This window comes from Homo sapiens, chromosome X, assembly GCF_000001405.40.
Source record: "Homo sapiens chromosome X, GRCh38.p14 Primary Assembly".
Taxonomy (NCBI): domain Eukaryota; kingdom Metazoa; phylum Chordata; class Mammalia; order Primates; family Hominidae; genus Homo; species Homo sapiens.
In genome coordinates this window covers 38,377,281-38,403,407 of record NC_000023.11, presented here as the reverse complement: position 1 = coordinate 38,403,407, position 26,127 = coordinate 38,377,281, and the positions used below count along the sequence as shown (strand labels likewise).

At 39.3% G+C, this 26,127-nt stretch overlaps 1 protein-coding gene and 1 pseudogene across 3 annotated transcripts in view; one reads left to right on the top strand and one right to left on the bottom strand.

Moving 5' to 3' along the window:
* Positions 1–26,127, bottom strand: part of OTC (ornithine transcarbamylase) — a 95,245-nt gene that overhangs the window by 19,521 nt on the left and 49,597 nt on the right. For all 3 annotated transcript variants that reach the window (NM_001407092.1, NM_000531.6, XM_017029556.2), the window contains 2 exons: positions 21,979–22,066; positions 1,980–2,133 (listed from right to left, as the gene is read on the bottom strand). In NM_001407092.1, coding sequence (NP_001394021.1) covers positions 1,980–2,133; positions 21,979–22,066 — 242 coding nt within the window. The remainder of the gene's footprint in view (positions 1–1,979; positions 2,134–21,978; positions 22,067–26,127) is intronic.
* On the top strand, positions 7,467–8,175 carry CRIPTOP1 (CRIPTO pseudogene 1; annotated as a pseudogene).

Sequence of the window (26,127 nt, the reverse complement as noted above, 5' to 3'; positions counted from 1 at the left end):
AGACACCATATGAACTTGAACAGAGACTAAGAGTTTCATACATTTCAAATCTGAGTCTTAGTTGTATTCACTCATTGGATACAAATGAGCACCATTAACATCCAGACACTGAGACACTGTCCTTGGCCCTGGAGATACAATAAACAAAGGAGACAAAAATCACTGCTTTTATGGAGCTGAAATTCTTTGGTATGAGAAAGGGGAAATACAGAATACCTGGAACAGTGTAGCATAGTGGCTCAGAGCATGTTCCCATTATACGAAGTTGACAAAGATGCTCAATAATACTGTTAGTTGGCCAGGTGCAGTGGCTCATTCCTGTAATCCCAGCACTTTGGGAGACCAAGGTGGGCGGATCACCTGAGGTCAGAAGTTCGAGACCAGCCTGGTCAACATGATGAAACCCCATGTCTACTAAAAACACAAAAATTAGCCAGGCGTGGCACACACTTGTAATCCCAGCTACTCCGGAGGCTGAGGCACAAGAATCGCTTGAACCCGGGAGGCGGAGGTTGCAGTGAGTTGAGATCATGCCACTGCACTCCAGTCTGGGTGACAGAGTGAGACTCTGTCTCAAATAATAATAATAACAAAAATAATAATAATAATACTGTTGGTTGTTTATGGCTATAGATATGTGTAAAGATACTAACATCAGGATAATAACATATTTGTGGAAAGGAAGAAAATAAGATTAGGCAGAGTTACATGGTGGGCTTCAACTCTATCTTTAATGTTTTATTGAAAAACAGCAAAGAATTATAAAGTATCAACATCATGTTAAGAATTGACAAAACTGTGTGAACACATGAATGTTTGTTTTATTTTCTTGAAGTGTCTGTAGGTTTCATATATTTTATATATTTAAAAAGATTAAAAAAGAGAAAGGCTAAGCAATTTGGAGATCACAGAACTACTAGTTGGCTAAGCTAGAATTTAATTCCAGATCCATCTGATTTAGATTCCATGCTCTTAACAAGCTGCTATTTATTCATTCAGCTCCTACTTTAAGTGTCTCCTATATGAAGGCATTGCACAAGGTCCTGCAGGGGACATTATGATGAATAGGACAGCTCATTTTCCCTCAATGAATTTATAATCTAGTAATGATAAAGCCCCAGGGGGAAGCATTAAATTATCTGGTGTATATGTAAAGCCACACCCACAGACAGCCACTTTGGTATCTGACATAATTATATCATCTTCTCTGCATGGATCTCATCCTCATGTCCAAAGTGTTTTATTTTGAGCTTAACCTCACATTTAAATGTGTGTAGTTTATTCAAATGTGGAAGAAGATGGGCCTATCCAGTTTATCTTGTCTCCTCAGAGTTATCCATAGACATAGAAACCATGGCTGTTAGGATTTCCAGGGGCAATATAATGTAGATTGGCTGTGGCAAACCAAACAAGAGGAATCTTTCAAAGTTATTCAAGTTCCTAATTTGGGAGGACTAGAATGGCTAAATTTGAGCCCCAATTCTATAAATTCTGCATATTCTTAACCCTACTTTAAATAACCAGTTTATTAAAATGATAGAAAGTGTCCCCCTCTTCCAGAGTGACTTAGTAACTAACCTTTTTGAATATTCAAAGCACACTCCACCAGTCTTCACTCCCAAGCCACAGACCTGATGTCTATAGAATCACATATGGCTTGTCCATTTTGTATGCTCCAGTGTTCTCTATTCATTCATTGTGTTAAATATGGCACCGAAAAATCAAAGGGATTGACAGAACATAAGATGAGATATGGGCTAAAAGGGTTTGGGAATAGGGTTGAGTGCAGAGCGATCTTAGAGTCTGTTTTTAACAATGTCCTGTTTTCCCCAGAAAATGCACACACAAGCTGTAATTCTTTGTCAAGCTGGTATTTGAAAATAAAACACCAATACCATGATTTAAGTAAACTGTTTCACTTAAAGCAAGTCAGGAATTATTTGATTTTGCTCTTTTGTAAGACAAATAAATAAACCAACCTGGAGCGTGAGGTAATCAGCCAGGATCTGGATAGGATGGTACAAATCTGACAGCCCATTGATAATTGGGATGGATGCTTCTTTAGCCAGGGTGTCCAAATCTGATTGTTTATACACTCGAGCCAATACTGCATCTGCCATGCTAGACAATACACTGTGGCAAACCAAGAAAAAGATAATCTAAGATAATTATGCTTAATAATGCCTTATTTAATATAAGATCAGAAATAATAACAAGAAATACTAATAAATAGAATTTTTACTACATGAAAACCTACCAACATTACAGGTTTAAAAGGTAATATTAAACATGTATTCATTACATAAGCCAGATGTTCTACCTCCCACGACTTATCCAGTGACCAGCGATTTTACATTTTTTATGGAGATAATTGTGGGCCCAGCAGACATAATGATGAGTTATAATTAATAAATGGCCATTGGTTAAAAGGGACAAGACCAAAAGCAAGATATACGGAGAAACATTAATGACCTGCCATATGGCTAATTTTCTTTCACATCATCCAACAGAAAAAAGATACATTTTCACTGTGGAATTGCAAGTCCCAGTGTGGCAGCCATGGAAGTGCACACACAGATCGCCCTACAGAAGAGAACTTGCTGTGAGGAGAGCCATTGGCTGACACTCTAGCTGCTACACCTTCGGATGCCCTGCAGCATTCCTGCCAAGGCCACCCTCCCCAGGCTGTTCCAACCTGATGACAGAACACAGTGGGGAGAATAGCGCTGGGCCATTCCTGCGTGACAGGGACCTCTCTGATAGACAGTCTGTGCTCTGGGGCTCCCCACCAGCCTGGCTGAGACTTTCTCAGAGCTGCGCTACTGGCTGAGGCTCTCTCCCTACCCACGCATCCTTCTTTCCCACAGGGGTCAGACCTGCCTCCCTGTCTGAAGGCCCTCTTGCCCACTCCTGCTGCCTCTCTCTTTATGTTTCTTGGTGGTTCCCTCAATAAATCTCTTGCAAGTCTAATTCCTTCTTGAAATCTGCTTAGTGGACCTGAACTGACACAGAAAGCAATAAACTCTGGTGCTTACAAAATTCAAGGACTGCTTGGCCCCAGGGATTAGAGAATCAAAGATTAAAAACTATATTCCTATAACAATATTTTTCTAGACTTAAAGATCAGATTTTTTCTAATTTTTAATGGATTTATCATGCCCATGGCTCCCAGATTTTCAAATTTCATGAACCAGCAAGATTTCCAAAAATATGTGGAGATCAACATAAGATTTGCAACTCTTTATTTACCAAATTAAGAGCATGAGAAAAGCAAATAAACAGGTATAATGTTACTACCTTAATTTAATTTAAAAAGGATATTTTAACATCAAAAAGGTGTGAAAGACAATTTCAAAGAAGAATCCTTGAAATGAATTATTTGAGCTTTATGAAATTTACTATATAATTCTTATCCTTATTTTTCTTATTCTACCACTTCTGATGGAAGCTTCTCCACACCAGGGTCAGTGGGGATAGAGATTTGTAAACCACTGCTTTGAACTATCTAAGCGCGCTATATTTTATAGCATGAGAAGTGAATAAAAGAGCCATTTTTAAAAAAATGTGATATTGGTTAACTTTTGATGGTGGACTAAGACAAGGGGTTTTCAAATTTTGCTGCACATGAAAGTCACTTGGAGAATGTTTGTTTGTTTTTTTTGAGTTGGAGTCTTGCTCTGTCTCCCTGGCTGGAGGGCAGTGGCGTGATCTCAACTCACTGCAACCCCCTCCTCCCAGGTACAATCGATTCTCTCACCTTAGCCTCCCAAGTAGCTAGGATTACAGGCTCGCCACCACACCCAGCTAATTTTTGTATTTTTAGTAGAGACAGGGTTTTGTCATGTTGGCCAGGCTGGTCTCAAACTCCTGACCTCAGGTGATCCGCCCACCTCGGCCCCCCAAAGTGCTGGGATTACAGGCGTGAGCCACCGCACCTGGCAACTTGGAGAGTTTTTTAAACTCTTGATGCCCAGGCCATATTCTCTATCAATTAAATCAGAAAAATCAAAATCTCTAGGAGTGGGACCTAGGGATCATTATTTTTAAAAATATTCTTACTATATTGTAACGTGCTGCCAAAGTTGAGAACCAAAGCTAGCACCTTGCCCCTCAGAGTAGCAACATCAGCATCATCTGAGAGCATATTAGATCTTCAGAATTTCAGGCCCCACCCAGATTTACTGAAGCAGAATCTGCATTTTAACAAGGTTTCCAGGTGATTCATTTGCATATTAAAGTTTGAGACTCCTAAGAAAGAGGGAATTGAGACTGCCATATTTTTGAAAGCATCATCTATTATTTTCTTAAAATCCTAACCAGGCAATATATCAAGACTAGACAAAGCTTCTGAGATGGCAGCCCACAAAAACAGAAGACTCTGTCTATAATATCCTTGGCAGGGAGGGAATTGAGGGAAAAAGGCAGCTAAACTCCTCTGAGCAAAGAATAGTTCACCACCTTCTGTTAAGGCCCTTCTCGTTAGAGAAGCAACTACCCTTACTTATTTGATGCCCTAAGACAATGGTTCCCAGACTTGGGTGTGTATCGGAACTAAGTGAAGAACTAATACTAATAGATTACACAGAAATAGAGTAGGTCCTAGGCCTTTGTCCTCTTACTAAAACAGACATTCTGTTTTTCATACTATAAGAATGCAAGCTTCTGTCATGGAAAAGTAACTTAAGTGGAGGTAGATATGTCAATAAGGTATATAATTATAATCAACTATCAATTCCCTATATCAGATGAATTGGTTAATTTTATGATGTCTAAAACCCCAAGAAAGAGAGAGAGAGAAGGAGAGGGTGGGGGCAGAGGGGTGTTTAATCCTAGAGGTCATACTTCAGACTTCTTTAAACATGTAGCACTCCCTAAAGTGTGTACAGACAAATAAAAAAAGTCTGGATTAACACTGCAGTTGACCTTCTGGAATCTCATAGCCAGAAAAGCAGATTTGACTTCTATTATAGCCTCTCAAATCATTTTAGGCAGCTAGGACCTTAGGCTGCCAACCTGTTATGGTTTTCTCGAACTTTACAGTATGTTGTTGAATTTTGCTAGATTTAGTGTGTGTCACATGCAGACATTATCTTAACCTCAAAGATGAAGAAATCAAGGCCTTTTAAAACCTTGAAGTAATTAGAGCAAGGTTAGGAAGGAGTGAGGAAGATGAGACTGAAAGACAGAAATGCTAGCAGAACAATTGGAGAAGTCAACGACCTGTACACATGAGTCTTTCAAGAAGACTGAAAAAAAGGCAGGTGTGTTTTTCTCTCTTTAGCAAGTCCCCATCCCCAAAACTCCTGAAGCAAAGCAGTCAAAAGATAAGCATGCATTTAATTTTTCTGTTTATAATGTCAAGCTGGTATCCCTGGAACCTCTGTGGTGTAATTTCATGGGAGTATGCCTGGTTGGCTTTATTCAGGTTGCAACACTTTTCTAGAACAGAGGTTCTTTACTTTGGCTGCACATTAGTATCACCTATGGAGCTTTTACAAAATCCTGATGCCATATTCTGCTTTTTGGAAGGTTAAATCAGAAGCTATGATAGTGAGACCCATATCAACATTTTTAAAGCTCCCCAAGCTAATCCAGTATGAAGACTAGGCTGAGAACCATTGTCCTAGAAAACGGAGTGAGAGAGGAGGTGGGAGGAAAGTGGGCTACTGTGCCACTGGGTGACACAGTGGATCAATGTAGAGGAAGAAACTCTTAGTAATTGCTGAAATCTCATACAATAAGAAAAGTAAGGGATAACGATATGATAAGCTATACTGGAAAGAACAAGATTTTACACACTTATAAAAGACGTATTTTCTTTAAGCTCAGTCGCTAGCAAGAGAAGTCCCAAGGCAGCAGCAGTAGCTGTAGTCTTTCCCCACTTGACACTTGTAAACATCCCTAGTGACCAGATTTTTGTCTCTAATATTGTTCTATTTTTAAAAAAAGAACCAGAAACCATTAGAGGATAGTCAGTTTCACGTTATTGGGCAGAATAAAATCAGAATAGGTCTGTAACATTTTGTTCTTGCCAGGAAACAAGAGTGATTTGTTTTTTAAATGGCAGAGGCACTGCTGAAAGAAAAACAGTCAGCTTAAAGGAGCTCCCATTTTTCAAGTTGTGATCATTTGTAGTAATAAAGATCATGAAATGAAATAAATTATGCTTCTAAAGGGACATGATGTACATAAGAAAAAAGTTAATGTAAATAAAATGTACAAAATTATAATAGTAATATCAAAGAAGAGTGAATATTATGTACATGTAAATTTATTTACTTACATAAGTAGGAAAGTGTTTATATATAACTATAGATAGATATTTGTGGGTTTTTGTTAAGTATATTTCTGTTCATATAGTATAGATATGTATTGTTTTTATCTGCATAAGCCACAAATTACTAACATAATTTGTAAGCCAAACAGTCCTAGAAATAGTAGAAACTGTACCATGAATAAACAGGCCTCAGCAGCATTTGTGGTCTCATATATAAGTGAACTAGAAAAGGAGTCCAGCGGTTGGCTAGCACCAGTCGCATATGCAATTTCCAATGAGGAAAACGATAATAACCATTTACTCCAAAATACTAACTTAGTTAAATGTCCATAAAAAGTAGTCTAAATTTTTTTTTTTTCAGACGGAGTCTCGCTCTGTCGCCCAGGCTGGAGTGCAGTGGCATGATCTCGGCTCACTGCAACCTCTCCCTCCCAGGTTCAAGCAATTATCCGGCCTCAGTCTACCAAGTAGCTTGGATTAGAGGCATGCGCCACTACGCCCGGCTAATTTTTGTGTTATTAGTAAAGACGAGGTTTCACCATGTTGGCCTGGCTGGTTTCAAACTCCTGACCTCAGGTGATCACCCGTCTCAGACTCTCAAAGTGCTGGGATTACAGGCGTGAGCCACCGCACTTGGCTAAGAAGTCTAAATTTTAAGATTCACTTTTCTGTTTCTCTGGAAATGAAAACTTTTGATGATTTAACTAATTAATTACAACACAATGCCAATAAGAAAGATGAATGTTTTTAAATATTGAAACCAGGCCAGGTTAATATATTATTAAATATTGCAATGAGTCATGTGCTGCCAGAGATTAAAAACAAACAAAACTTAAATCTTCTAAATTTCTTTAAAAATCAGAATCCATGGCAGGGTGCAGTGGCTCATGCCTGTAATCCCAGCACTTTGGGAAGCTGAGGCAGGCGGATCACCTGAGGTCAGGAGTTCGAGACCAGCTTGGCTAACATGGTGAAACCCCATTTCTACTAAAAATACAAAAAAAAAAAAAATTAGCCGGGCGTGGTGGCATGTGCCTATAATCCCAGCTACTCAGGAGGCTGAGGCAGGAGAATCACTTGAATCCGGGAGGCAGAGGCTGCATTGCACTCCAGCTTGGGCAACAAGAGCAAAACTCCATCTCAAAAAAAAAAAAACAGAATCAATTTAAAAGATAAAAATACGGCTGCTCTCTCTCATCCTCTGGCCTGCCTAAACGTTCAGGGGACAATGACGGAGTGTAATTTTGATCATGGCCATTTCAAAAGCATTTGAACTAGAATTAGTTGGCCAGGTTGGGTTGGGCCACCATAACTTGCATGTCTATCTCAGGAAGACTTGGCTTTCAGAGGGGACAGCACTCAGCCCCAGGAGGAGCCTGCAATTCATCCTTATTTCAGAGTTTGTGCCATCCATGGGGACACAGGACAGTAAGGAACAAAACAGAACCTGCTGTCCAAATGGGGGAACCTGCACGCTGGGGTGCTTTTGTGTCTTCCCTTCCTCCTATGGATGGAACTGTGAGCATGTTGTGTGCAGAGAGAACTGTGGGTCTGTGCACCATGTCATCTGGCTGCCCAAGAAGCGTTTTATGTGTAAATGCTGGCATGGCCAACCCCTCTGCTTTCCTGAGGCATTTCTACCTGGTTGTGATGGCCTTGTGATGTTTGAGCACCTCATGGCTCCCAGGACTCTGGAAAACTACCATCTGCATGTACCACTTTTATGCTAGCTGGCACATGCCTTTCCATACAAAGTTACTATGAACTGACATTTACCTATTTCCAGAAATAACAACTTTAGATATCATGCAAATTTCATGACCAGTAAAGTCTGCTGCTCCAATGTCCTAACTGAAAGAAGATCATTTGTTAGTTGCCTTAAAATAATGAATACAGTTTTGGGAGTCTGAGGCAGGCAGATCACAAGGTCAGGAGTTCGAGACCAGCCTGGCCAACATAGTGAAACCCCGTCTCTACTAAAAATACAAAAATTAGCCGGTTGTGGTGGCATGCGACTGTAGTCTCAGCTACTCAGGAGGCCGAGGCAGGAGAATCACTTGAACCAGGGAGGTGGAGATTGCAGTGAGCCAAGACCATGCCACTACACTCTAGCCTGGGTGACAGAGTGAGATTTCGTCTCAAAAAACAAAAAAAGAATACATTTCCATAATGGTCCCTAACACTTCCTCACTTCCTTCACGTACCAATTACTTCTTACCTCTGCCCTGCCCCCCCCCAGAAACTACTTTCCTTTTTCAAAAGAAAGTCAGCCGTATGTACATTGTGCCCAAGTCCTATGTTTCTTGATACATGTAACTCTACCAAGGTCTTATTAACACGGTCTTTTAAACAATTGAATTATATCTTCAGATTATTAAAGGCTAATCCTAATGCGAAACTGAGGATAAAGTTTTGAGTAGAGTTGATCAAAATCAATTAAAATGGTCTCTTTAAAATGAAAGAAAGCCTCATTAAAGGGAGGCCATGGAGGGAAGGATCAGAAAGCGCTGGGGTAGTAATAGAAATCTGTCTGCATGTGTGCCAGGGAGATGGGGTAAAAAAGAGGAAGCAAATGGGAGAGATGGACACGAAAAAAGAAAATGAATTACTTGACTGATGATTAGGTGGATGTAGAGAAGCAAGTTAAAAGGCTAAATTGAAGGGCAAGTTTCCATCATCTATAGAAAGTTATATAAGACAGACTCTCCTTTTTTCTAACAGCATTGTAAAAGAATGAAATCTCCTTGGAAAAAAATTATACCTAAATTTCCCCAACAAGATTGCTTAGTAAATTATGTTTTCTCCAAACTATGCAATTATTTTAACTGTTATAAAAGAAAAGAAAATGTTCACAATATATTTAGTTGTAAACCGGGCAATAAAATTATATATTGTAAAGCCTAATTAAAAAATACATTGTGTATATGTGTATGCACAGTAAAAATGTGAAATACATTGACAAAAAGTGTCATGTGGTAGACAAAATAATGGTCCCCAAAGATGTCCATGTCCTAACCCACAGAACCAATGAATGTATTGCTTTACTTGACAAAAGGAATTTTGAAGATTCATATTCATAAGTTAGTGATCTTGAGATGGGGAGATTACCCTGGGTGGGCCCAATATAACACTAGAGAATAAGAGAGAGGCAGGAGGTTAGAAATGAGAGGAGAAGCTATGAAGACACTAGGTTTGAAGATGGAAAAAGGGGGCCTCAAGCCCAAGGATACAGGCAGCCCTTGAAAGCTGGAATGGACAAGGAATTGGATTCTCCTCTGGAGCCTCCAGAAGGAACACAGCCCTGTACACTCATGTTAGACTTCTGCCCTCCAGAACTGTAAGATAATATATTTGTATTGTTTTAAGCCACTAAGTATGTGGTAATTTGTTAAAGCAGCAATGAGAAAACAATATAGATTCCATGACAAAAAACAAAAACTATGTGATAAAAAATTATTGTCTAGTGGCCAGCAACTTGAGTTTAAGTCACCTTGAATTTAGCAACCCGTTCCCACTAACCAACCAAAATTAAGTGGCCAGTAATCCACTTAACCTGTATCCCTGACTTCCCGAGGTGATATGTTTGTTCTTTCCAGTCTGGAAAAATTACATAAACCCTGAGAAAGTATAAAGAGTCTCTTGTAGAATTCCCAACAATCCAGCAATGTACAGAAGTTTAAATTCCAGGACCATACAAAAGTAAAAATAAAAGGAGATTTAAGAATAAAAAAACAAAATTAAATCTATGATATTAATAGCTTTGTGCCCAGTTTTGTTGTCAAAATAATAATCGGCTATGTAAACAACGTGGTATTTTACGTGTATTTTTTCCTTTGTAAGATGTTTAATGCAGGGAAATCTGAAATGTTAGGCTTGTGATTAAGTTAAATGTTTAAAAGCATTTCATTAAGTTTGCAATCAATGTGTAAATGGTTGAGTAGATTCGTTTTGTTCACTTAATATACATTTGATTTATTGGTTGTATAAGTAGTGTGTGAATATTTAAAGCAATGAAAATTTGAATATGCATCAGAATTACCAGGAGGACTTGGTAAAATACAGCCAGCTGCTTCTGATTCAGGAGGTCTGGGTTGAGGCCTGAGAATTTGCATTTCTGAAAAGCTCCCAAGGGCTATTTACGCCGTTGACTTGGTAGCTGTGCTTTGAGGAACGTTTATTATTTTAGGTTTAAAAAATGCTAAATGTTTGACAAATTCATAAGGTTATGAAATTGGACTGTAAACAAAGGACAAAGAGTGCGGAATATCCCTGTAGGCACAAAAAGCCCCTTGGAGGTTAAAGCACCTGTGGGCAAAAGGGAGCGTGACAAAGCCTGGCAGAAAATGCCACTTTAGTCCTCTTTCAGCCACAGGAGCTTCGAGTAAGGTGGAATCCAATGATATGGGGGTGGAGAGGGAGCAGCTCCTAGGTTGCTTTCATGTTGGACTCACTTAGGGGAACAAAGATATTAAAGACACTTAACTAGACAATTAGTTCATATTATTTTGTGAATGACATTGGTATCTACTTCATGCTTAAAATTGCTAGAAATCACCATTTTAATTCTTCCAGGCTACTAAAGATCTTTAAAAAATAAAAACAAACCTTTTCACTGGAAACAATGACAACCCTGTAACTAGAGCTGGACTACAAGCACATTAATAGTAATCTGGGATTTATAGAGCTCTCCATCAATCTAAAACCCCAGCTTTAAACATTGTAAGAGCTTTATTATACATGCTACACATGAAAAGTTGATAAGTTAAAAAAATACTCTCTGGTTCTATAATGACTTTTCATTTTACCCTCTTTTCATTTCTATTAATATATACAGTACTGTTTGCCTTCCAGTGCATTCTTACAGCTCTGCAGACAATCTTTGGCATTAGCCAACAATGGTAGCAAAAAGACTTTTGCAAAATCCAAATTACTCAAATTTAAAGTTTCCCACATATACCAGCTTGCCCTGGAAGTTTAATGGCCAATATTAGGATTTTTCAAAAATGATTAACAAGTTAAAACATGTGTTCAACCTATTTTGTCTAAATATTTAAAATGTCTAGTTTCATTCATCATCTCTTTTCCTACTGTTTAGAAAAAGGAAAGGCACGGCATGAAACTTTAAGTGGAAAGATGGTTCCAGAGATAAAATGTTAACATCCATTATTTCTGGATGATGGTGGTATCAGTGGCTCTATTTTTTTAATCTTCTTTAGTATATTCTATCAAAAGGAATATTATTTTAATAATCAGACAAAATATCATTCAAGAAAGGAAATTTCTCCCAAGTGTGACTTTGAAAGTAATTGAAAATGCCCCAAGTCTTCTTAGAGCAATGGCTAATTCTTGGTCTTAATAAAGAAATGTACAAGATGAGCCTGGAACATCTTGTCACACCACAAAGCAAGAGAGTTATCGAAGACTGATGGAGTTAGGTCAAAATGACCCAACTTGAACAAAGATGACATTGACCAAATATGGGACAATTTGATAATTAATAAGAATAATAATTATAATAAATTGAAACCTTCAAATGTATTAGCATCCAATGAGTTTATAAAGATACTAATAAAATGGGAGAACAATGAGAAGAATCATAGCAAGACCAATTCTAACTCAATTTCAAAGATAATTCTCAGTCAGATTGTATAAACTTTTGATGAGAACAGTCAGACTACATAGATATCAGACAAAATAGCTGAGTATATAAAGAGTGCCTTAGTACTGGGTACTTTTTTTATAGTTTAAGTTTTAGGGTACATGTGCACAACATGCAGGTTAGTTACATATGTATACATGTGCCATGTTGGTGTGCTGCACCCATCAACTCGTCATTTAACATTAGGTATATCTCCTAATACTATCCCTCCCCCCTTCCCCCACCCCACAACAGGCTCTGGTGTGTGATGTTCCCCTTCCTGTGTCCATGTGTTCTCATTGTTCAATTCCCACCTATGAATGAGAACATGCGGTGTTTGGTTTTTTGTCCTTGCAATAGTTTGCTGAGAATGATGGGATGATTTATGCAGGGCTCAATGACCATTTTGAGAGAGTGATGGTCACTCTCTCCATGAAAAGGATGGTTGCTATAAATAAATCCTTTCCAACCCTTAGTTTCTGTTGTTGCTTGGTGTTTTTTCTTTTGGTATAAGTTTGAAACTTATTTAGGAATTAATGAAAACACCCTGAAGGCTGAAACAAAACAAAGCAAAATGAAACAAAAAAAGACAATAAACAAAGCCTCTCATGACCCCAGGAAAACCTGGTGCAGAGTTAGTGTGGTTGGGTGAACAAACACTAAAAAATAAAAAACAAGTAGTGTGCTGGGCCAGATCAAACATGGATGTTGATGAGCAAACATGGATGTTGATGAGATGGACAATCATACAGCAATCCTGGTGCTCTTAAAAGGAGTTCAGTTGTTCCTAAAGTATTGGAACATGGTGCAAGTGTCTCAAAAGCCAAAGGCAAACAGAGGTTGTATTCTCATAGGGTCCTGTTATCCATTTTCTCTTTTGTCTCCATCCTGCCTTGTTTGAATCAGACTGCATGCCCTCTAAACTCCAGTTTCTTTCACTGACAACTCTTACCAGTTGAACAGCTGACTGGGAGATAGAGGAAGGATGTTTTGGTTGTGCATATTACATCCTTGAGAACCCTGTAATCACTTAAAAATGGATGTTTCTGATTTTATTTTTTGTCAAATTCAGCCAAGTCCCAAAAGGAGACTTAAGCAGACTTAATCTCTATCCCCAATGTAAATTGATTATGAGATAAACTCTCTGAATCTCCCTCTGGGAAACAGAATATTCTAGCCCTCTGGCATCTCTACCCAGATGATTTTAGTTATATCAACATAAGAATGATGAGGAAATAAGATAGATAATACTCTCAGCAAACCTAGATGGGTTCTTGTCAAATGGGCTGGTGTTGGAAGAAGCCAGAGATGTTGAATAAAATTGCCATATTCAATTTATTAATGAAGGATCTATAATGGCCAGGTTGTTTTGATTTAAATGTTAGATCCCAAGTTTGAAGACCTTAGAGAAAAATGAATGGGGTATAATGGCATTTAGAATAACTTCTTCAAAATATGCTAATGGAAGTTCAGTGGGTCAGTGTAACCTGTTTAGGAAAACCACAGAGATAGCCAAAATTGAGTCAGTGCTTGTCTTGAGATTGGGTTAGATCATAACTTGATTCAACCAACATTACTTGAATTTCTTCTGTGCGTGTGTCCTTTACAAGCACGATCTCATTTACCCTCATATAATGCATTAAGATAAGTATAAGTATCTCCATTTTGCAACTGAGGAAACTGAGACTCAGAAGCATCTGGCCCAAACCATGAGGGCTAGCATGTGGTAGAGCTCTGAATTGAACCAAACTGTGACTCTGCTTTGAAGCCCCTGTCCTTGACGCTCTGGTACACTGCCTCTAAGAGAATATATCATTGTTCATGGTGTGAGAGACTGTCTTTTGTAATCATTTTTCCCAAAAATATAGAATTTTCATACCTGCTGGGTTCTTGGTGTTCTCTGTAAAGATTCATGGAAGTATCATATTTCCCATTAGGTACCAATTTATTACTACCTCATGAGATATATATTTCCCATTAGGTACCAATATTTTAAAACATTTTACCAAAAATCGTAAAACCTTTAACATTTTTAGTCTGGACATAATTGGTATAAATACCTGAATAACAGTATTCCAGCTTTTTTTTTTATAAATATTCCTTTTAATATGACAATGGTTCACTCCTCTTGAGGATTGGGCCTCATCCACAAATCCCTCTATAACTTTCATTATTTGAGAATAGCAATGATTGGAAACCCCTTTTATGGTGTCATAGGGACATGTGGATATGTGGTTATAGTGGGTTGAATGGCATTTCCCCAAAATTCATGTCTACCTAGAAACTCAAAGTGTGAGCTTTTTCAGAAGTAGGATATTTGCAGATGTAATTAGTTAAGATGAAGTCATATGGAGTAGGGTAGGTCCTAAATTCAATGACAGATATTCTTATAAGAAGAGGAGAAGATACACAGAGAAGCCCAGGCAAAGATGGAGGCAGAGTTTGGGGTGATGCCAAGGAATGCCAAGGATGACTGAAAGCCACTGGAAAGGGAATTGTGGTCCTGTTGACACACTGATTTTGGACTTCTAGCCTCCAGAACTGTGGGAAAATAAATTTCTGTTGTTCTAAGCCACCATGTTTGTGGTAATTTGTTGTGGTGGCCATAGGAAACTAATATAGTGGTCTACATTCATTTTCTTTTCTACTGGTTTTACAAATTAGCTGAACACATTTTAGCAATCACTACCATAAGTAAATTACATCTATAGGGAAAGAAATTAGAGTAGAACAGTGTTACATTATTTGGTTTTATATGGAGCCTTTCATACACGTGGTTCCTGAAGCTGCATTACTAAGTACTATATTAGAAGACAAATGACTGGGAAGCTATTATGCACTTTTCAGTAGTACGCTGAGCATTAGGCATGAAAAGCTGTCATTACAGAAGAAACAGAAAGCCTTGAAACTGGAGTGATAATGCCCCACTTGCTGTTGCTAAATTCCATATGATTTAAATCTTCTAAAAAATCAGTGATCTGAGTCACGCGAAGGTGGTCACTTCTGGTGTCACATCTAAAAGGACAAGCCCAGAACAAGGAAAAAAAAAAAAAGAATATCCAGTTCATAACCCCAGTAGAGCACCTGGTAAATGACAAAATCTGAAAATACCCTCACATCTGAAGTAAACTTAACTGAATATCTATGTGTATGTTTTGTGTTTTCTGATATGTTAGGGGGTGAGAAGGAGCTCCTAAGAGAGACTCTTCAATAAAGGGAAGTGAGCAATAGGACTGATTCTATCCAGGGGAACCTAGGCCTCCAGGGATCCATGCTGAAGCAAGAAAACAACTCAAATCTTAAGGCTGTCTTCCCATGGATATAACATACACTCCCTTACCAGTTACAGTACATCTAGGTAAAAGAAATTGAGCAAAATTCAGAAGAGAGATGAGAGCCTGATTATGCAGAAAAAAGCTAACATAGCGCCTTGAGGTGGCTGTCCTTCAAAGGGCTGCTTACAAGGCTGACCCTTGGCTAGCATCTAGGAACTTGGACTTTAGGAGGGTTCCCACCATTCCCAGAAATGAGAAGGGTGGTCCACTGTGCCCAAACTGTTTGGATATGCACTATGTTTTATGCTGAACACCTGCTTTCCTTCTGGGTGTCTGGAATTTGGGATCACACTAGGCAGAGGGCACTTTTGTACCAGTCCCCAGTAAAAGCCTTGGGAACTGGTTTGCTGGGGAAATTAAGCACATCCTGTGTGACACCACTGGGAGGGGACTTGTGGAAGCTTGTGCCTAGTCTCCCCTAGACTTTACCTCATGCACCTTTTTTCTTGGCTGATGTTGCTTTGTTTCTTTTGTTGTGATAAATCTTAGCCATGAGTATCACTGTATGCTGATCCCTGTGAGTCCTTCCAATAAATGATCAAACCTGAGTGTGGTGTTAGAGACTCCAACATATCAGCTCCTCCAAAATATCAGTGGACAGCTCCACCTCAGTGCTCCCCTTCAGTCACCTCTAGATTATACAAAATGCAACTCAGACCAAGCTAACGAGATTTCAGCCACAATATTCTGTATAGTGAATAGGTTTTATTATTGTAACAAGGAAGAAAAGAACAATACAGTTTTTTCTCTCCTTAATTGTCAGATCTTCTTTGGGATACTTGTTTATTATGATCTAATTTTTAAAATCTTACTAACTCTAAATGTAAGACTTTTTTATTGTAATAATACTTCAAATGAGATCTAAAAAGCTTCTGCATAGCAAAAGAAACAATCAACAGAGTGAAAAGGCAACCTATGGAATGGGAGAAAATATTTGCACACCTGTGTCTCACAAGGGGTTAATGTCCAAAATATAAGGAATGCCTACAATTTAACAGCAAAAAAATAAAAGTCAAAATTAAAAAAATAGGCAAAAGATTTGAATAGATATTTCTGCACAAAAGGCATACGAGTGGCTAAAAGGTATATGAAAATGTGCTCAATATTACTAATAATTAGGGAAATGCAAATTAAAACCACAGTGCAATATCACTTCACACCTGTTAGGATGACTATTATCAAAATGACAAAAGATAACAAGTGTTGACAAGGATGTGGAAAATTGGAATTCTTCCACACCATTGGTGGTGATGTAAAATGGTGCCACCACTATGAAAAACAGTGTGGAAGTTCCTTGAAAAATTGAACATAGAATTATCATATGATTTAGCCCACTTCTGGGTATTTAGCCAAAGTAATTGAAATCAGAAACTCAAAGAGATATTTGTATTATTGTGTTCCTTGCAGCACTATTCACAATAGCCAATAAGTGGAAACAACCTAAGTATTCATCAACAGATGAATGGATAAAGAAAATGTGGTACATATTCACAATGAAATATCATTCAGCCTTACAAAGAAGGAAATCCCGGCATATGCAATATCACGAACGAACGCGGAGAACATTATGCTAAGTGAGATAAGTCAGTCACAGAAGGACAAATATTGCATGAGTCCACCTATGTGAAGTATTAAAATAGTCAAATACATAAAAGGAGAAAGTAGAATGGTGGTTGCCAGGGGTTGGAGGTGGGGGGCAATGAGCATTGCTGTTCAACAATTATTTCAGTTATAGAAGATGAATGAATAAGTTACATATATATATATATATTTTTTTTTTTTTTTGAGATGGAGTCTCACTCTGTCACCCAGGCTGGGGTGCAGTGCTGTGACCTCAGCTCACTACAACCTCCACCTCCTGGGTTCAAGCGATTCTCCTGCCTCTGCCTCCTGAGTAGCTGGGATTACAGGCACACGCCACCACGCCTGGCTAATTTTTGTATTTTTAGTAGAGACGGGATTTCACCATGTTGGTCAGGCTGGTCTCAAACTCCTGACCTCGCGATCTGCCCACCTTGGCCTCCCAAGGTGCTGGGATTACAGGCATGAGCCACTGCATCGGCCTTTTTTTTTAACAGAGCCTTGCTCTGTTGCCCAGGCTGGAGTGCAGTGGCAGGATCTGGGCTCACTGCAACCTCTGCCTCCTGGGCTCAAGCAATTCTCCTGCCTCAGCCTCCCTAGTAGCTGGGACTACAGGTGTGCGGAATTTTTTTTATTTTATTTTTAGTAGAGATGGGGTTTCACCATGTTGGCCAGGCTGGTCTCAAACTCCTGACCTCAGGTGATCTGTCTGCCTCGGCCTCTCAAAGTGCTGGGATTACAGGCGTGAGCCAACACACCCGGCCATAAATAAGTTCTAAAGATCTGCTGTACAATACATTGGATTTTGAATGTGTATTTAGGATTTTTATTCCTTGTTCTGATTTTATCTTTCCTTTCTTTGGTGGGTGAGACTGAGGACCAATCTGTAAGGTGCTTTTTTAAAAAAAAATCAGGTTCAAAATGTATTTGTTTGAAGATTTTAGAACATTAATGGCTTCCCTTCTGTTCCTGAACACATCCAGCTTGTTGCTGCCTTAGGCTTATGCATCAGCAGTTCTTTCTGTGACACTCTTCCTACAGCATTGCGTACCTGGCTCTGTCATTTTATTGAGCTCTTAACTTTCACCTCCTCAGAGAGGCCTTCCCTGACCACCCAATCTAAGGCAGCCGCCACCCCACCAACAAATAACCCGGCTTTAGCTTCATCATAGCACTTATTTCAACCTGCTCTTCTATTCATGCTTTGTTCATTTGTTTAGCAAAAGCCTCCTCGCTCCAGAATGCAATTTCCACTCTAACAAGAAACTTGTTTGACTTGATCAGCATTTTATTTTATTTATTTATTTGAGACAGAGTCCCGCTCTGTCGCCCAGGCTGGAGTGCAGTGGCACAATCTCAGCTCACTGCCACCTCCACCTCCCGGGTTCAAGTGATTCTCCTGCCTCAACCTCCTGAGTAGCTGGGATTACAGGTGCCCGCCACCACACCCAGCTAATTTTTGTATTTTTAGTAGAGATGGGGTTTCGCCATGTTGGCCAGGCTGGTCCTGACCTCAGGTGACCCACCCCCATTCCCCCAGCCCCTCGGCTTCCCAAAGTGCTAGGATTACAGACGTGAGCCACCGCACCCAGCCTTGATCAGCATTTTATTCTCAGTGCTAAAACAATGTCTGGAAGAAAAATGAGGCATTCAATAACTATTTCTGAATAAATGAACAATTAAATCATTTGAACAAATAAGTGGCACTATGGAAATTGCATTTAACAGCTTTCAAGAGACTGGCCCGGTTTTCTTTCTTTCTTTTTTTTTCTTTTGGTTGCTACACTCACTATATTCTCCCTCAGGCTCTTCTTTCAACAATGTGCAGGCACTTTTTATTCGACCAGGCCCCCAAAGCAGCTGGACCAGCAATGAAGAAGCAACACCGTCAATCAGTGTCAGGCATGCATGATTCTTTTGATTTGAAAGGGCCAGCAATGTCATTTAATCATCCTCCAATCCCTTTGCACCTTAAAATGTTAAACTTCTACAAAAAGCAAAGGAAGCGATTGCTGAGGGTTACAAGGTGCATATCAGCAAGGTAGATGTCATTAAGATTTGCTTCCTTACATCTCCTATTCAATTGCATCTGTGGAAGGTGGTAGATTTATCTTGTCTTCTTCAATTTAGCTTTATTGAATTTCTGAGTCCCAGCATATCTTGTTTGTCAGATATTTTGGCAGATTAAGCAGTAATGACGTACACAAAAGAAAGTCAGATTTCTACAATAGCTACTCTACTCCTTTTTCTGACATCCCCCATCTCCCATGCCAGCCTCTTCTGATATTGTACTATGCTTGTTCTCTTTGTGCCCTGAGGATTTCCTCCTCCCCCTCCTTAATTGCACCTGTTCTCATGGCACAGCCTTCTGCAATTCTCCCACATTGAGACCATGGAGGTAATTTTTACCACCGAGCTTATATTTATATTTCTTCAGCTCTCAACTTCACTCAAGGTCTTTATCTCCAATGACTTGTGAACATTTGCACTCAGAGGTTCAAACTTTAATGCAATATGTTCAGTGCCTAATCTGTCATTTTCTCCACAAAGCAGAAACTCCTTTCATTTTCCTGCTTCTGCCTTTTCCCTTCATTGATTGTGCTTGGTATACTTTCATTGTAATAAATCATAACTATGAGTATGACTATATGCTCAGTCCTGTGAGCCCTCCTAGTGAATCATCAAACCTCTGGGTTGTCCTGGGGACCTCTTGACGTGCAAGTCAATGTTGTCAATGTTTTCTTTTCTTTTTTTTTTTTTTGTCTTTTCTTTTCTTTTGAGATGGAGTTTTGCTCTTCTTGCCCAGGCTGGAGTGCAATGGCGCTATCTCGGCTCACTGCAACCTCCGCCTCCCGAGTTTAAGCAACTCTCCTGCCTCAGCCTCCTGAGTAGCTGGGATTACAGGCATGCGCCACCACGCCCGGCTAATTTTTGTATTTTTAGTAGAGACGGGGTTTCTCCATGTTGGTCAGGCTGGTCTCAAACTCCCAAACTCAGGTGATCCACCCGCCTCGGCCTCCCAAAGTGCTGGGATTATAGGCATGAGCCACCACGCCCAGCCCAATATTTTCTATAACTTGTTTCGCTGCCCCTCTCGTGGGCTGAATAGAAGCAGCATTATGGGGTAATCAAAACAACACGGCCTTAGAAAATAAAGACAGCTTGATTTAAACCCTGACTTAGTCAGCTTCTAAGCTCCATTAACTTCTCTGAGCCATGCTTTCCTCATCTATAAAACCAGGCCAATAATACTTACTTTGCAAGATTTTAAAAAAGATTTAGAGATAATAGCACAAGAGGTCCACGGCAGACAATCTTTAAGGAGTAGCTATTATTTTCAGTGTTTTGGATAAGACAAAATGGTCAAAATGAATTATATGGACTCCATTTCATGGACCCATGTATTCATGTAGCAATGGAACTATAATAATTATATGGACTCAAAATGTCCCAATCATTTTGGAACTTGTAACAAAAAAAAAAAACTGTAAGCAGACTGTTTTGCTCAGCATCTATGTAGAGCTCCTCTAACTAAGGACTTGCAGTGAGAATTGTGTGGAGAGCAAGCCCAGAAAAGAGCACGTTTATACCCATCCTCAATTTTCAGCCCATGCTTGGCTGTTTGTCTCTTGATCTTGGGATCCTGCCCACTGCACTGATTTCTGGATCCTGACCTCTTTCTGACTGCCAACCTGCACTGCTCAACTCCTTTTTTGGATGCTCAGCTGTTCCTCCCACTGAACCCTCTTCCAACCAGTGCTTTACATATGACTCATTCACCATCTTTCACCTGGTCCTATATAGAGGATCCTCACTGAAACTTTGCTTGGGTATGTCTCTGGCTTCATCCCTTGATCAGCTTGTAATATTTGCTTTTGAATAAAGTATATTTTCACTTTTGTGGAAGCAGAATTATCAGACAAATATAATCCAAGTCAGAGGCAGATTATTTGGAAGAAAAAATTTATGTTCCTTGATTCCTTTTGTCCCTAGAATCCAGAAGCTAATCACACTTCTTAATACTTTCATTGTCCCATCTGAAATAACATAACTAAAAGGTTTAAAGAAGAGTTATTTGAAATCTCTTCAGCAAGTCAAATGAGGTGAATTCTTTATACTAGGGTGGTTGCCATAAAAAGCAGACGTTATCTGCAAGAAATAACTTCATGGCGTATCATTTTCAGGAAAAGAATCATTAGTCTTCTCTTTTGAGGGCAAAACTTTTAACAAAGACATTTGCTCTGGATTTTTTAGCCAGACATGATGTAGTGGTATGAGCATTGCATGAGGAGTCAGGAGGCCTATGCTTCAGTTTCATTATAATATAGTGGGGAAGAGCCTTTCCCCGTCTCTCCCTTCATCTAGATGGGAGTGAGCTACTAGTACTTCCTAATGAAATATAAGTGGAATTGTTTGTACTGCTTCCCTGCTAAGGTGGCTTTGAAACAAGTATGCCTTCTCCATGCTCTATTCTCCTTGGTCCTGGCTGGATGTTAACACCCAAACTGACCTTGGAGGTCACATGTTGAAGATGGTAGAATCACTCTCAGCCAGTGTCCCTGAATAACCCACATAAATTAATAACCTGTTCTTCCCTTTTACCAATCAGGAACATCTGCACTATGTTAGCATATTGACATTTGAGATTTTGTGTTATAGCAGCTAGTCTGTGCCTAATTAAGTTGTTTCACTTCTTTATGACAATCTGGGTTGTTATAAGGATTAAACAAGTCAGAAAAATACCTAGCACACAATAAATGCTCAATAAGTGTTATTAGTAGTTATTAATATTATTACCTAGTCTGATAGTAACTAGTTATGAGCCACTGAATGTCAGTTTCCCTGGACCTTCATTTCCTCCTCAACTGTTAAATCTAAGAGTCATACTTGATGAACTCAAAATTTCCATAAGTTTGAAATTTTATGATCAGAAGCTTCTTCAAAAAATTGCCAAGAAAAATTATTTCAACCGATGGAAAGTGGCCACAGGATGAGGGAGAGGTATTCAGAATATCAGGGAAAGAGGGAAAATGGAGAACAGAACAATTAGAGGGAAAACCATTATTTAAAGAGAATTATGTTTTATTTTTGAAATTTATCCATCAGATTCTGAAATCAGCTTTGGAGAGAAGAAAATATTTACAAACCGGGCCGTGTCCGTGAGACTTTCATTCACACCCAAATGAATATCTTGTGTGGTAAGAAAACAAGGATGTCCTCCCAGAAGTGCAAAGCCTACAATAAAAAAAAAAGAAAAAAATCATTTTGAAAAAACAACTAAAGTGGAAAACAAAATTACAAAGAATTGGCATCATCTCAACTGAAAAGTCAAAATCTTTAAAGCTCTCCAACTTCTCTGATACAGAATTCCCATGCAAAGCAAAATGAGGAATTGAGGGAAGTAGATAAAATTTTGTGCTCAAGTAATTAACTCTCCTTCACATGTGTGCCCATTTCTCCACCCTCTTATTCAAGACCTGGCAATAACGAGGCATCATTCCCTCTTTGGGGCTATGCCTGGTTTTGGTTCTCTAAAATATATAAAGCTGGCTGTGTGCAGTGGCTCATACCTATAATCCCAGCACTTTGGGAGGCTGAGGCAGGTGGATCTCCTGAGGTCAGAAGTTCAAGACCAGCCTGGCCAACATGGCAAAACCCTGTCTCTACTAAAAATACAAAAATTAGCCGGACGTGGTGGCAGGCGCCTGTAATCCCAGCTAGTCGGGAGGCTGAGGCAGGAGAATCGCTTGAATCTGGGAGGCAGGGGTTGTAGTGAGCCGAGATCATGCCACTGCACTCCAGCCTGAGCAACAGAGCAAGACTCTGTCTGAAAAAAATAAAAAATAAAATAAAATATATGACGCTGTCTTGATTGGAAGATAAGGAAAACAGTAAAGTGGCCCTTTTACTTTTTTTACTCTTAGTGACTTGAAACCACTATCTCAATGCTTACTTTCTTTTATTTTCAAGCCTTTCATTTTTATTTATTTATTTTTTGACACAGTCTTCCCTGTCACCCAGGCTGGAGCCCTTTCATCACACATTCTGGGGAAAATTATGGGAGATGGTGACATCCAATCAGAACTTTACTGTCTCATTTGAGACTGGTTTAATGCTCAGAATTTCTCCAATACATAAAGGCAAATACACATAATTGCAAGATAGAGATTTGTCCAAGGAATTTTACAAACATTACTTTTCCCCTCCTTATTATGATGTGCCTGATTTATCTTTTGGGAAATAAGCAACAGTCACAATTTGCTAATCCCATCTGTTTCCCATAAACAGGGAAGAAATCATTAATTGCACGGTGAATTGGGGAATGAGGAGTTTCAGATCCACAAAGGAGAATTTGACTCAAAATCTCATGAAACATCCTACTGAAGCCTTAACACAGTTTGAATATGGACTGATATTAAATGATATTAAGGAATCATTATTTTTGTTCAGTGTGATCATGACATCATAGCCATATAGGACAATATCCTTATTTTTTGGGGATACAAACTGATGTATTTTGGGGTAAAATATCATTGTAACTTTAATTTACTTTAGTTCAACAACCAAAACAAGTAGACGAAGAAGGCAACATATTAACAATTGTTAGACTGATGTAAAGGGTATTGGTATGCTCATTATGCTAATCTTTTTACTTTTCTGTTTATTTGAAAGTTTCACTATAAAAAGTAAAAATCAGAGGCAGGTGGATCACGAGGTCAGGAAATCGAGACCATCCTGGCTAACATGGTGAAATCCCATCTCTACTAAAAATACAAAAAATTAGCCAGGCGTGGTGGTGGGCGCCTGTAGTCCCAGCTACTCGGGAGGCTGAGGCAGGAGGATGGCATGAACCTGGGAGGCAGAGCTTGCAGTGAGATCGCGCCACTGCACTCCACCCTGGGTGACAGAGCAAGACTCCATCTCCAAAAAGAAAAAAAAATATTAAAAATCAAACCCACACAAAGCAATGGTCCTCATTTCTGTTACTGTATATAAAATTAAATAATTATAGTCTACCTATTTTATACTCAAAAGTGTTCTCTTAAATATGCCTAGACCAAATGGTCTTTAACTAGAGACCACCATGTTCTGACCCTAGCAATGACTCTTCACAGAGCATAATCATATGATGGCACATTATTAACATTCTTTCATTGAATCCCTTAGTCTGACAAAGTGTACAGTAGATATTACAAGAATTTTATAGAAAAGGGTTCTGAGAGTCAGAGTCTAAAAAATTGCGCAAGATTGTTTTTAAGTCTCCACAGCCCTAGGCCTTGCCATAGGGAAGCCAGCTATTGAGTCAGCTCAAAGTGTGATCTACAGAGACAGAATGACATAGTGGGACTGGACTCAGTCTTCTTCATCTGAAAAAGAAGACAGTTTGCCTAGAGTTGTAAGATCCCTTGCAAATCTTATGTGCTAGGTGCCAGGTAGGATCAAAGAATATGAAATGCCCAAACAGTCCTACTTGCTATGGGACCTGTAATGAACATTCTGACCCCATTTCTGATGTTTGACTGTCCACCTCTCCCTGCCTGACCCTTCAGCCCTACATCTGGGAAAGCTGATAAGAAAGTTCAGGTGCTCACTCCTTTGGCACTAGCAGGAGGTTCAAACTGCACAAGCCCTACCTTGCGCATGGGAATCCTCATCCCAGCCCCATCGCCAAATCACACTAGAACTCCATATCGTTTCTCTGCTCTCTGGGGCTACTTTCAGACCTGCTTGGAAACCAGACCTACTATCCCCAGAAAGCCACATGATGTGAGTAATAAACTTTTTCATATCTTCCTGGTGCATGTGAGATATTCTCACTGTCAGCAACCAAACCAAATTTTAGGTGGATGGCACATCTCATGTCTGTGGAGTAACTACACAACACAACAAGTCCTGGCCTCACTGTATGATTCTGAAATTCATTCATTCTGAAAATATGTGCCTGGTGCTGTTCTAGGCACTGAAGAAAGCATTGTAAACAAGATACAAGTCTTTGACTACTTATTAGCTCTAATAATACTTGCTTTATATATCTGGTTGCTCTAGCATTGGGTTCATATATATTTATTGTTGTTATATTCTCTTGCTGAATTGGCCCCTTTATCATTACATAATGGCCTTGTCTTTTTTTTCCAGTTTTTGTCTTTCAAATGGGGAGAGACAGAGTACAAACTGAATGAGTAAATTAAATATATTGTATGTTAGATACTGATAAGTGCTATAAGAAATACAGAGCAGGGAAGGAGAATAGGAAATTTACAGGACCCAAGTTGCAATTTTAAGTAGTATGGTCAAGGAAGCCACAATGATTGTGGGACTTTTGAGTAAAGACCTGAGGAAGATGGATAGGTGAACCATAGAAAACATACGAGATAGTGGGAAGAGCATGTGCAAAGTTCCTGTGTGAAGGTCATGATTGGTGGGTTCAAGAGACAACAAGAGGCCGGGTGCGGTGGCTCACGCCTGTAATCCTAGCACTTTGGGAGGCCAAGGTGGGCGGATCACCTGAGGTCAGGAGTTTGTGACCAGTCTGGCCAACATGGGGAAACCCATCTCTACTAAAAATACAAAAATTAGCCTGGCATGGTGGCGGGCGCCTGTAATCCCAGCTACTCGGGAGGCTGAGGCAGGAGGATCACTTGAACTCGGGAGGTGAAGGTTGCAGTGAGCCAAGCTGCACCACTGCACTGCAGCCAGGGCGAGAGAGTGAGACTTCGTCTAAAAAAAAGAAAGAGAGAGAGAGAGACAACAAGAAGGTAGTGTGGACGGTGCAGAGGTGAGGCTGCAGAAGGAAGCTGGGGAGAAGGCAACAACTTTGACTTTTGTCTGGATAAAATGGGAAGCCTTTTAAGGCTTGGAGCAGAGGAGGGACATGATTTGACTTACATTTTAATTGGACATCTGTAGCAGGGCAAAAGCAGGGAGACAAGTCAGGAGACTGTTGCGAAAATCTGGGTGAGAGTTGATAGGCTGGAACAAGGTGGTAGCAGCTAACGTGTTGAGAAAATGGTTGGCTTCTTCCTATGTTTTGAAAGTGTATCTTTTCAAAAAACCAACTTTTTATTTCATTGATCTTTTATTTTTTTTAGTCTCTGTTTTGTATATTTCTGTTTTGATCTGTATTATTTCTTTTCTTCTACAAATTTTGGGTTTGGTTTGCTCTTGCTTTTCCAGTTCTTTAAGATGCATCATTAGGTTATTTGAAGTTTTTCTATTTTTTTGATGTAGGCATTTATTGATGTACATGTCCCTCTTAGTACTGCTTTTGCTGTATCCCACAAGTTTTAATATGCTGT